Below are 12349 nucleotides of genomic sequence, written 5' to 3' on the forward strand. Positions count from 1 at the left end.
TAAAGACTTAAACGTAAGACCTAAAACCATAAAAACCCTAGAAGAAAACGTAGGCAATACCGTTCATAACATAGGCATGGACAAGGACTTCATGACTGTAATACCGAAAGCAATGGCAACAAAAGGCAAAATTGACAAATGGGATCTAATTAAACTAAAGAGCTTCTGCACAGCAAAAGAAACTGTCATCAGAGTGAACAGGCAACCTACAGAATGGGAGAAAATTTTTGCAATCTACCCATCTGACAAAGGGCTAATATCCAGAATCTACAAAGAACTTAAACAAATTTATAAGGGAATATTAACCCCATCAAAAGTGGGCGAAGGACATGAACAGATACTTCTCAAAAGAAGACATTTATGCAGCCAACGGACACATGAAAAAATGCTCATCATCACTGGCCATCAGAGAAATGCAAATCAAAACTACAATGAGATACCATCTCACACCAGTTAGAATGGCGATCATTAAAAAGTCAGGAAACAACAGGTGCTGGAGAGGATGTGGAGAAATAGGAACACTTTGACACTGTTGGTGGGACTGTAAACTAGTTCAACCATTGTGGGAGACAGTGTGGCCATTCCTCAAGGATCTAGAACTAGAAATACCATTTGACCCAGCCATCCCATTACTGGGTATATACCCAAAGGAGTATGAATCATGCTGCTATAAAGACACATACACACGTATGTTTATTGTGGCACTATTCACAATAGCAAAGACCTGGAACCAGCCCAAATGTCCATCAATGATAGACTGGGTTAAGAAAATGTGGTACATATACACCATGGAATACTATACAGCCACAAAAAAGGATGAGTTCATGTCCTTTGTAGGGACATGGGTGAAGCTGGAAACCATCATTCTGAGCAAACTATCACAAGGACAGAAAACCAAACACCATGTGTTCTCACTCATAGGTGGGAATTGAACAATGAGAACACTTGGACACAGGGTGGGGAACATCGCACACCAGGGCCTGTGGTGGGTTGTGGGGAGGGGTGAGGGATAGCATTAGGAAGTATACCTAATGTAAATGATGAGTTAATGGGTGCAGCACACCAACATGGCACATGTATACATATGTAACAAAGCTGCACATTGTGCACATGTACCCTAGAACTTAAAGTATTTTTTTTAAAAAATGTAAAAAGTGAAGCCTGGTGAGGCCTGTGAGTGTATTTGCGCTAATCTGTAGGAAAACTGGAAATGAAGGTGAAGAAGGCAATGGAGCATGGAGTTGGTTCCACTTGTGCATAGCATGGGGATGGAGGGCTGGTTGTGGGTGCTGGCAGGGGCTTAAATTGCCCAAACCTGGTAACAGGGACTAGGAAGTTGGATCTTCCCAACAGAGCTTTGCATGGAAGCCTTTTCCTTCCTACTACTTCACTTTCTTTTCTGAGGGTGTTACGTTTGTTTCACATCTAAGAAAACTAAAACAAGGCTTAGGAAGTATATCAGGAAAAAACTGTCATCTCTACTTCAAAGTTTAGTATTAGCTTGGTGCAAAGGTAATTGTGTTTTTCATAATTACTTTTAATGGCAAAAACCACAATTTCTTTTGCACCAACCTAATAGTTAATATTCCTTTACTAGAACCACCTAAAAAAAAAAGTTAATACTGTGGTGAATAAAATGTTACCTGCTAGAGAAGTAAATAATACAAAGGCCTAAAGAAAAAAGATTATTATAACTACAATGTCAAGATATATCCCCCCAAAATTTGGGGACTTCCAGAGAAATCTTTGAAAATGCACATTGTACTTAAAGGGAACATGGAGAAACTCAGTCTCAGAACTCTGGCTCACTCCCGTGAACTCCAGTTGACATCTTGAGCTTTCATCCTCTCTTCTACGCTAACGGGTGGCATCTTTCTTTGTTGCTCAGGTCACCTTTTAGAGCCAGGCCTAGAGCTGCTGGCCTAACTGTCCTAGTCTCAGACTGCCAGTGCTGCTGTGGTCACCTGTATGCAGGGGCTGGCCCTGCCAGAGTCATGCAGTCCAAGCCTGGCCATCCAGGGATATAGTGGTACAAGCAATACTTGTTTGTAGAACATGGTGTTTATGGCAAATCCGTATCTTTCAATTTTATAGAAGGATGGAAGATGGATATTTTCATTTCCTTATATTATTTCCAATACATAAGCATGTATCCTGCAGAGGAGCTGTCTGCCCAGTTTTCTTGTTGCTCATCCCTGTTAGTAAACCATGGGGAAGACAGGGAAGAGAAGGGCATTTCTGCGTACATTTAGGTACAAAGGCATAACCTAGCTGGTGAGGTTAGATTTCCACTGAGTGGTTTTTGATTCAATTTCATTATCTATGTAAATACAAGGTATCAAACTCATAAAATAATTTAACTGTTGGTCCTTGACATTTTCTTTTGTTTCTCTTTTGGTCCTAGTGGGATTTCACCTCCCTCCCCACTATTACTTTAAAAAAATTATCACTTTAAAAATATGTCACTTAAAAAATTTTTGTTTTGATTTTTTAAAGTTTAACTCTTGTGAAACTAATAGAATTTTTAATTGTTTTTTAATTTCTAAATTGACCACTTTTAATTACTCTAGTATGTTTCAAAGTAAACATACTTGGAGTTGATTTAAAGCACGTGTCGAGAGGTGTGTATATACTGGTACCCACATAGCGTTATTCTAGCTACGGCTCTTTGTGCAGAGATAAGCTGTCATGTCATGAATACCTGGAGGAGGCCTTTATTCTCAGGTTTTAATGACACTTTATGTAATAACTTTTACAGCACCTCTAAAGCTGTGATCTTAGGATGCTTCTGAGGAATGAATGAGATTCCAGCATATCCAGACTTCTAGCTGGCTTTGAGTATTGTGTGTGTGATGCATGCATATGCATGCCTTTAGTCTCAGTCCTGTTTTTGATAAATTCAGTAGCTAAAGCGTTTACAGTTCTGATTCTACTCTCTCTTGTTTTTGCTGCCTTTTACTCATGGTGCATTGGTTTTTGTATTTTTATTTTTTTATTATGAGTTCATATTTCTTGGAAGCCTATCTGGGGTAATTCTCTGAGACAGGAGTTAAGGGCAGGTTCCTCCAGAGAGGAGCTGCCTTTGCTTTTCCCAGGTGACTGGAGCCACCACCCTCCCCTTCCCTGGGGAGCACTGGAAAGTCAACTTTCAACTTGGGGTTTTTTGGACCTCAAGTTATTTCTGGCCACAAACTTTTAGAAGTGCTGGCTTGTGATTATGAATTCCTGGAGGTGCATGGATCTCTCCCTGTTCTATTTGTACCAAGATTTGAGATAGGCAACTTTCTTTGTACTCTGGAGGTGTCAGTTTAATTGTTTTCTTCCAAATACTGAGGCTGTGGTCCTTTGGGATGCCCTATTAGATGCTCCATCTTGGGCAGCCCCTGGGCTTTTCCCCCTGCTCCTAGCACTCTCACAAGACTGTGAAAATCAAAGGAAAATTCTGTCCCCCTTTAGCAAATGTCCCCTCCTTGCTTCTTGAGATTCCTGCCCTTACTTAAGCTTTGACTTCTAATATTCCTTACTCACCAGTCAGGTCCTATTTATTATTGACCTGTTTTTAACGTTGTATACATTTTTAGTTTTCAGTATGAGAATTTATGTAGAATTGGTCAGAGTGCCTACTTAGACAAACGCCCAGAAATGGAAATCCTCAATTAATTCCTAAGAAATCAATTAATTATTTATTTAGCCTGTCTGCTTTCCACTACAGGGGCTAGGAAGATTCACAGAATCCATGGCAGAAACGCATCCACACCTTGCTTAATATTCAGTATTCACTTGTTCAGCATCCCATTCTACTCAGACAACTCTAATTTTTAGATCTTTCTTTCTTAGGTGGAACTAAATTATCTCTTCCATTAATTTCTCCCCATTGTTTAATATTCTGTTCTTTGAAGCAACACAGATGAATCTCCCTTTCCCATGTGGCTTCATGTATTTTGGGCCTCTTCCTTCCTCCACCACTAAGCTTCCTCTTCCCTCGGTGTCTCTAGCTGCTTCTTGGGCAATATGGTTTGAGGTAAATCTCCATCCCCAAGCATCATAATTGCTGGTTATTTCCCTCTATTTGATATCTAGTGTGTCCGTTCCTCAAACACTGCATGTTCATAGTTAGACATACTATTCCAGATATGACCTAAACATGTCAGAGCATGTGGACTGACCAGATACTTCTTTTCATGTTGTCTGTGTCTTTCTGTGTAGCTCTGTGGCACCGTTCATTATGGTTGATAGAACTAATAGTCAATCAGTTCTTATTTCCCCACTCCCTACTCCTCCTACCCCCAACCCTGAGCTTTTTCATGCATACTGTTTTAACTCAGATCTTATTCATCCTCGAATTATGGACAGTATGTCTTTAAAAAAAGATAAATGATGTTGCTGTTATATGATTCTTTTTTAATGGGCATATTAAGGCCCTGATTTAATTCTATTTATCTTTGCTTAAGAATAATTTTCTTGAATAGAAAATTATCTAGAATCTGAAAATCTCCTAAGTTGTTTAAAAGCCTACCACTTTGACTTAACCTATTGTCAGTCAGTTCTGCCTGCAGAAGTTGGTAGGTATTCAGTTATAATTAATAATAACCAACTCTGCTGAGTTAATATGCCTCTTGCAGTTCTATTGACTTTTAAAATGTTATATTTTACAGAGGAATTTCATTTACTGTCTTTAGGGGAAGAGATTAAAGTTCTTAAAATCTCATTTTACCCAACATTTGATGTCAATTGCTGTTTCGTATTAACTGCATTAATTAGCATTCCTGCTGATTTCAGTCTTCCAGTAATACATCCAAAAAATCTATTAGGTATATTTTAGGTTCTTGTCATAAATATTTTTAGGAGGCAGTTCTAGCAGTGGTAATAGCAGTTGAAGATGCTTAGGGTTCTTAATCCATCTCTCTAATGATTTTGCCGCTGTCGTAATAAAACCCTCATCCCTCCGTGCTCTTAAGTAACTTTTGTTGGGTTTCCTGACTTTTGATGGAAGGGTTCACTAGGTTGTGTAGACTTACTGTGATTTTATTTGTAATAAGGTTTGTTCTAAATTTCAGGCACTGAATTTGGAGTAAAATTAATTCATTACTAAGATAGTTCGTGAAACTAATTGTACAGAGACACGAAGCTTGTATCTAAAAGCCAGGTGAGTGGCAGATTCCGGGCCCACGAACATATTTGACAGAGATGTTTAACCAGGAGGATTTGTGGGTTAAAGTTATCTTAAGGTTCACATGAAGGGATTTGTTCAGTGAACTAGAAAAACAATGCTTTTCTAGAGATAAAAGAGGTTAGAAGAGTAACAGGTAGGAAGGTAGCTGAAAACTTCCTTAATGTGATTAAACCAACTCAAGCAGTAAATTAAACATACTTTATTGTTAATGTTGAAAAATGTTTATTTCATTGGGTTTGATTAGAAGCATGAATTGATTCTAAATGTTATCACATTTTTCAGAGAGGCCTTTTTATGCTAATTATGTGTTAGTGAACTGGAGATCTTAAAGTATAAATTCATCTTTGTAAAAGGGCTACAATAATGAAAAACATTAATTATTAAACCACAAATGATATTTATTGCCTGTCTTGCTCTCTGCATTTTCAAAAGTGCAAAACAGTTGCCTTTGTGAGTTTTAAATAGTCTAGAAAGTCTAGAAAGATGAATATGTGTTCATTCTTTGGAATTGAAAATAGGGAAATAGTCCTCAAGAAGAGGCTATCTTAGAATATCTGCTTTTAAAAATTCCTGGACTTTCCAAGAGAATGTCTCCTAACTTTGACTTACTATCAGTTATTTGAGTTTGATAGTCCTACCAACATATGAGAACTGATTTTTTAGAGTAAGTAGGTATGTTGTATAATGCATTATTTGTTTAAGCATGCTCTTCTAGACCTTTATTTTTAAACCTGCCCTTATTAATACTAATTACAACATATTTGTAAGGTATTTTCCTGTTTCTATTCTCGTTTGATTTCCACAAGAGCTCTGAGTGGCAAACAGAGTAAGCCTCCTGTTTATCCTGTTTGTGGATATGCATACAGACTAGACTGGAGCCCAGGTCTTCTGAGTTCAGTGCCCTATGGTCCTTCCCCAAGCCCCGTGCACTTGTGAAGGGACACGACCCCTCAAAGCACTGGTGATTTGGGAAGTCCTTTAGAGAAGCAGTGAGAGCACAGAGCTCAGGGGGAGTCGTGGCTGTTGTGTGACTTTCAGCAAATTCCCCGAGTCTACATTTTTTCATCCATAATCAACTCTTAGTTACATTTATTGATAGAAATGACAAGGAGGATGGATAATGTGAAGTAGACAATAAAAGAAATAATCTATCAGTAGCAGAAAAGAGTAGGATTTGGAGATGAAGACCCAGGTTCAAACTCAGCCTCCCCTTCTGGTGAGCCAACAATGGCAACAAGTCACTGACCCCTCTGGGAACTTCCAGTCCCTTATTCATTAAGATATTTGGGCCAGATCATGAAGGCCTGATAAGCTGTGTTGAGTTTGAAATGTTGTTTCAAGGGCAGTGAGACAACACAGAAGTAGTTTCAGCAGGGATGTGTGACACGATCAGATTTGTGTTTTAGCACCGCCACTCGGGTGCAGTGTGGAGGGGAAGACTGGAGGGCAGGAGACCTGTTAGGATAGGAGGCTGTTAGGGTATCCTGGGGCGAGACGATTGGGGGCCTGACGGTGGAGCAGGAGAGAAGGGGATGGACTCCAGAGATGCGTAGGAGGTAGAAATGACCAACTGGGTAAATGATTGGATGTGGGGCTTAAGGAAAGGGAGGCAACAAGGATGATGCCAAAAGTGAAAGTGTGAACTGGATTACAGACAAGGTTGTGTTAGTGATGTTAGCAAGAATAGTTTCGGTGCAGTTACGGGGGTGAATTGCCATATTTTAGATGGTTGGTCAGTGAGGGGGTAACGAAATGGAGACAGTACAGGAAGACTACTCTTTCAAGGAGTTTGGCTGTGTTAGTCTGTAGTGGTAAGTGGAAGGAGATGAGGAGCAAGAGGAGATCTTTAAGACAGGCCATGTTTGAATGCCAACCTAAGAAGCCAGGGAAGAGGAAACGGAGTAGCTCTAGAAGAGGGGACTAGGGGGTAAAGAGATGCTGATGCTCAGGCTCAGGTGGAATGCTAGCTTTGGATGGATGTGGGTCCCCAAGGCAGAGTAGCTGTGGGGAGGAGCTTAAGGCTGAAGCCTGGATACTTGGATTTGGATCCTGCCCCCATCTGATTAGACCCAGTTGCCTTCTCTGTAAAGTGGGTCACTAAGAACAATATGACATTATGACCATGTTTGTTTTTCCCTGTATTCCACTGCATTATCTTTATACATATTTCCTTAAAATAACGAGAAAGCAAGAACCCATGGGGATTTTTCAAAGTGAAAATCCCTGTGCTGAGTAGTGAGATCTTGACAGTCTCCCCTTGCTTGGCTCCTGGAACACTGGAAACTGGACCAGTATCATCCCCAGGAGGTTTGAGTATTCTTCTCTGAGGAAATCAACCACATGGAGAGAAAAAGACCTTACAGATAGCAAAGGGTAAGGATCCTGCTCCCTCCAGTAAAATGAATGGGACTCCCAATAACCCAGTGTTAGGCCTGCAAGAAAGAACTCCTGAAAACTAAAATTTAGTAACAAAAGATTAAAGCAACTCTTAAGATTTAAAAAAATCCCTCAAAAAGTAGAACAATTGGGGGGGAAAAAGAATATTTGGGAAATTTGGGAATCAATTCAGGAAGTCTGACACCCAACTAATGTGAGTTACAAAGGTAGTAGTGGGCAGAAAGTTATAGAGAAGTAATTCATGAAATTGATGTACCTCCAGATAGAAAGGGTGCAGCAAGTACAGGAGTGTTTTGCCTTTTATTCTACCTGTATTGCCGAGGGCCTACCAGAGGACAGGCTGTGTCCAGTGCACTAGAGGCACAGGAGTTGGGGGGAAGCAGACAAAAACCCGTGCCATTGTGGAGTATATATTCTGTTGGAATTACATTAACAATTTTTTTAAATGACTCACACCAGGGCACTTTATTGTGAAATTTCAGAACACCAGGGATAAAGGGGAGATAGTAAAAATATCCAGAGAGGGGAAAATGAGGTTTGATTTAAACGATCGGGAATCAAATAGCATTGGAATTCCTAATGATAAAGCTGCACGCTACTTTTGAGGGGAAATGAGTAAATGAGTTCCAGCCTGGTTCTGTACTTAGCCCAACAGTCAAGTACAACGGTGGAACTAAGACATTTTAGATCCATAAGGACTAAAATAAACTATTTAGCTGCTATAAGGATACACTCCACTAAAATGAGGGAGCAAAATAAAGAGGAAGACAAGTGATGAAGGAAACGAGATCCAGCACAAGAAGGCGGCAAAGGGAATTCCCAGGATGGTGAGAGGCACAGAGCTCTGTAATGGCCTAGCAATCAGCTTCCAGGTAGGCAGAGGCCTGTGGAAGGAATGGCTGTGTGCGAGGGGTCCAGGGAACAGGAGGACCAACTGAGTGGCCACCTCATGGGTTCTGTACAGAGGATTTTATAGTTGTGTCAGAAGGTTTGGGGATGAATTAGTAATAGGAAAGTAGAAAACCAAGAGACTATGAACAAAGTTATAATTCCAAGAGAAACAGAGTTATTGAGAAAGGAAATACACTCATAGTGCACTACAGACTCTGCTGTGAGCATTATATACCATAGTCGTAGCCATGAAAACAGTGACTATCAATTGAAAACAAAATTATTTTATATTAGCAGCTTGGGGGAGGAGAGTCTGTGTGAGGAAGCTAAAGTCTCATCATGTAAAATAGGAGGTCAAAAGTAACATGTAATCAAAAAGAACTAAAAGTAGAACTGCCATTTGATCCAGCAACCCCATTACTGGGCATCTACCCAAAGGAAAAGAAGTCATTCTATGAAAAAGACACTTGCACATGCATGTTTAGAGCGGCACAACTTGCAATTGCAAAAATGTGGAACCAGCCTAAATGTCCATCAGTCAGTGAGTGGATAAAGAAAATGTGGTATATATACACACCATGGAATACTACTCAGCCATAAAAAGGAACAAAATGAAGACATTTGCAGCAACTTGGATGGAGCTGGAGACCATTATTCTAAGTGAAGTAACTCAGGAATGGAAAACCAATTATCGTATGTTCTCAGTTGTAAGTGGGAGCTAAACTATGAGGACCCAAATGCATATGAAGGATGTAATGGACTTTGGGGATTCAGGGGGGAAGAGAGAAAGGGAGTGAAGGATAAAAGACTACACATTGGGTACAGTATACACTGCCCAGGTGATGGGTGCACCACAATCCCAGAAATTACCACTAAAGAGCTTTCCATGTAACCAAACACCACCTGTTCCCCAAAAACTATTGAAGCTGAATAAATGTATTTCTAACTTCCTTTTTATGACTCCTTTCATCCGTGGCTTATTTTAAAGTATCGAATTTGATTTCCAGATATTTGCGAGTTTTCTAGATGTCTGTCTGGTTGATTTCTAATCCATTGATTAGAAACAGAGAACAACAACAGAAAAAAGAAAATGAAGGGAGTAACTTGGTAGGTCATGTAACACAGAACCAACCTGCCAGGGGAATGTGTGATTCCCCCTTGATATAAGATGCAGAATGGCAGCCATCACTTGGGAGTGTGTCTTTTGAGAGCCTCCAGCTGTTGACATCTCTAAGCAGATTCCAGCTGTGAGGGGGTTGGGATGACGTTATTGCAGTGAGGCCCCTGATGGAGCTAACAGGCACTGATCTCTGCAGGCTTTCTCCTTGTTTGAGAGGGTTTAGAGCATGAGAAGCGCCTGGCCCCAGTTCCTGGCACTTTGTGATCTTGGGCAAGTGAAGTCACAACTCAGTTTCTCTATCTGTGAAATGGGGATAATACTACCTCCTTCTAAGGTTGTTGTGAAGAGTAAATCAGTTAAGGTAATTGAAATCTTTCAAATAGTGCATGGCACATAGTAAGCATACTGGGGTTTGTTATTTGTTTACTTTTGTTAACCTTTGCATTTTTGGGTCATTATTATTGTGTTGTTTTCTTTATCCAGTTCACAAGAATGGATCAGTACCTCAGAAGTGGTTCTTTGAAGTATAAAAGGAGTGACAAAAATAAGAAAAACTACAGCTCAAAATAACATAAGCATAAATAGTGAAGGGAAACCCAGTGTCATTATAAAATGTGAATCTTAACATCCAGGGACCAGTTAATCTTTCAGGTTGATAATTTTAGTCAAGTCACAGAAAAAGAAAAATTGTAAATAGAAAGTATCATAATGACTTTCTGAAAATTGAATTTTACTTGGGAGGTGATTTATTTGTCCGTGGTCTCCAGTGCTTTCTCTTTTATGAAACTTTGTCAAATAGGGGCATAAAACCCCCAATGCTTTTGAGTCATTTTCAGACAGAGTACAGTGGCCTCTCCAGTAAACCAGTTGAGTCTTCCCAGATCAAGTACAAAATAGTGTTTTCCAGGGTGAAACTGATGAATTTTGTTACTAAGGGCCCAGAATATAGAACAAAACCTCAGAGGCATCATTCATAGTTACATTCATCCTAGCAAAAGTAGATTTGCTGAGAAGTTTGCAACATCAACCTCCAAACTGATGGCAAACATATTCAAAAGGAAAGAGGAACAAGCTTTTGGCAAAATCGTTGATCAAATACTGCTGTTGCATGTGACGTAATATCAGGGGTATGCAATGTGGAAAGCAGTCATGCATGAATGAATATTTCACTTTATAGTTTGTTGAATTCACTGTGTAGAATATGAATCAGTCCTTAGAATATGTGTAACACACGAGGGAGAAATGTTCAGTGACTTTCTGTAATCTTTGTCGTTGAAACCCTTCGCTTCAGGAGAGATTCTTTTTGTTGTTTATTTGGAAGGCACTGATAATGAACAAAAGGTTCCCAGACATTCCTAATGACAGGGCACCAGCTGAGTAGGCAGCAAGGAAGATGCCACTCTGCTAATGCTCATCCTCCCTCCACTTCTTCCACCAAGAGCAGGATGAAAACTCCATCACTGAATGTGTATTTTCCACTGGGCTGTGTAAATAGATTCTCAGCAATTAAATAGCTCAGCTTTTCTCCATTGAGTTGTGCTAGCTGTTGAGGAGACCTTTTTGGAATAAGGTATGAAATAAAATATTTCTTCATGGTCTTGATATGAGTAAAGACCATGTCTGTGATAATCAGTTGGCTTAGACAGATGGCATATTGCATAGGCTTTTCTCTTTTCAGACTGAATCTGTCTCTTCCTGGTCAATGACAGAAATAAGAAATAGAATTTTTTAAAACTGGATAATACTGCTGAGACTGGATCACTAAGATCTGACTGTTTACTAGCATGTATGATTTTCATCAAGGAAGCATAAATGTTGGGCATATGTAACAACTGGAGGTAAATATAAGCAATAAATGAATGAAGAATCTATTTCCCACTTCTCTTAATTCGAAACATTGCATCTCCCAGACTTAAAGGATAACTTAGGTTTCCAATAAATTCCAAGCGAGGCGTTTAGTAAATTTTTCCATAATATCTGGGTTCATCCTTGGTGGAAATATCTGTACTCCTTAGTAGAACAAAACACTGCAACAGTTACCAACAGTCTGTACAGTGCATGAGTTGTGATTTTCTAATTGATGTTAATGAAAATATATTAATTAATTAGCTTAGATGTGGAACCAGAATATTACTCAAGCTAAATGTGTCATTGAACCCAAATGAAAGATTGTGCTGATATGGAATACTTAAAATTAATTTAAAAATATATTTTATCAATATTTTTCTAAAACATGTAAAACCATGTATGATAAACATGTAAAAATTATTAATTTTATAATTATCTATCTGCATGTCTACAATATGCCCATTAAGTGAATTCCTGGTTGGCAAAATTTGGAATATATGCCTTAAGGGTTGGAGAGTTGTTATTCTGGCCTGGTGTTTATGTGATTCTATACAGGCAAATTTTCTTTCTTTGGGAACTGTTTCTTCATCTATAAAAATGAGAATAGCCAGATAGTTTTACTAGTCAAAATAGCAATACTACAACTCTCTGTCCACAGGTTCTGCATCTGCAGATCCAACAAACTGAGGATCACAAATATTTGGGAAAAATAACAATACAACAAAAAATAATACAAATTTTGTATTGTATATCAATAAGCATAATAGCTATTAACATAGCATTGGCATTGTTTTAGATGTTGTAAGTAATCTAGAGATGATTTAAAGTATATGGGAGGATGTATTAATACATATATTATATGCAAATACTATACCAATTTATGTAAGAGACTTGAGCATCCTCAGATTTTGGTATCTGCA

The 12349-nt window shown here is 39.0% G+C and overlaps 1 protein-coding gene across 8 annotated transcripts in view; it reads left to right on the top strand.

Annotated features, from left to right (window-relative positions):
- Nucleotides 1-12349, top strand: part of PELI2 (pellino E3 ubiquitin protein ligase family member 2) — a 183114-nt gene that overhangs the window by 115204 nt on the left and 55561 nt on the right. Inside the window, exon 1 of one of the 8 annotated variants that reach the window (XM_006720211.4) lies at nucleotides 1105-5146. The exons of the other annotated variants lie outside the window; for them this stretch is intronic. The gene's annotated coding sequence lies outside the window, so the exon portion shown is untranslated. Of the gene's footprint in view, nucleotides 1-1104; nucleotides 5147-12349 lie in introns of those variants that run through there. 8 annotated transcript variants of the gene reach the window in all.

The sequence above is a fragment of the Homo sapiens genome, chromosome 14 (assembly GCF_000001405.40).
Source record: "Homo sapiens chromosome 14, GRCh38.p14 Primary Assembly".
NCBI lineage: Eukaryota > Metazoa > Chordata > Mammalia > Primates > Hominidae > Homo > Homo sapiens.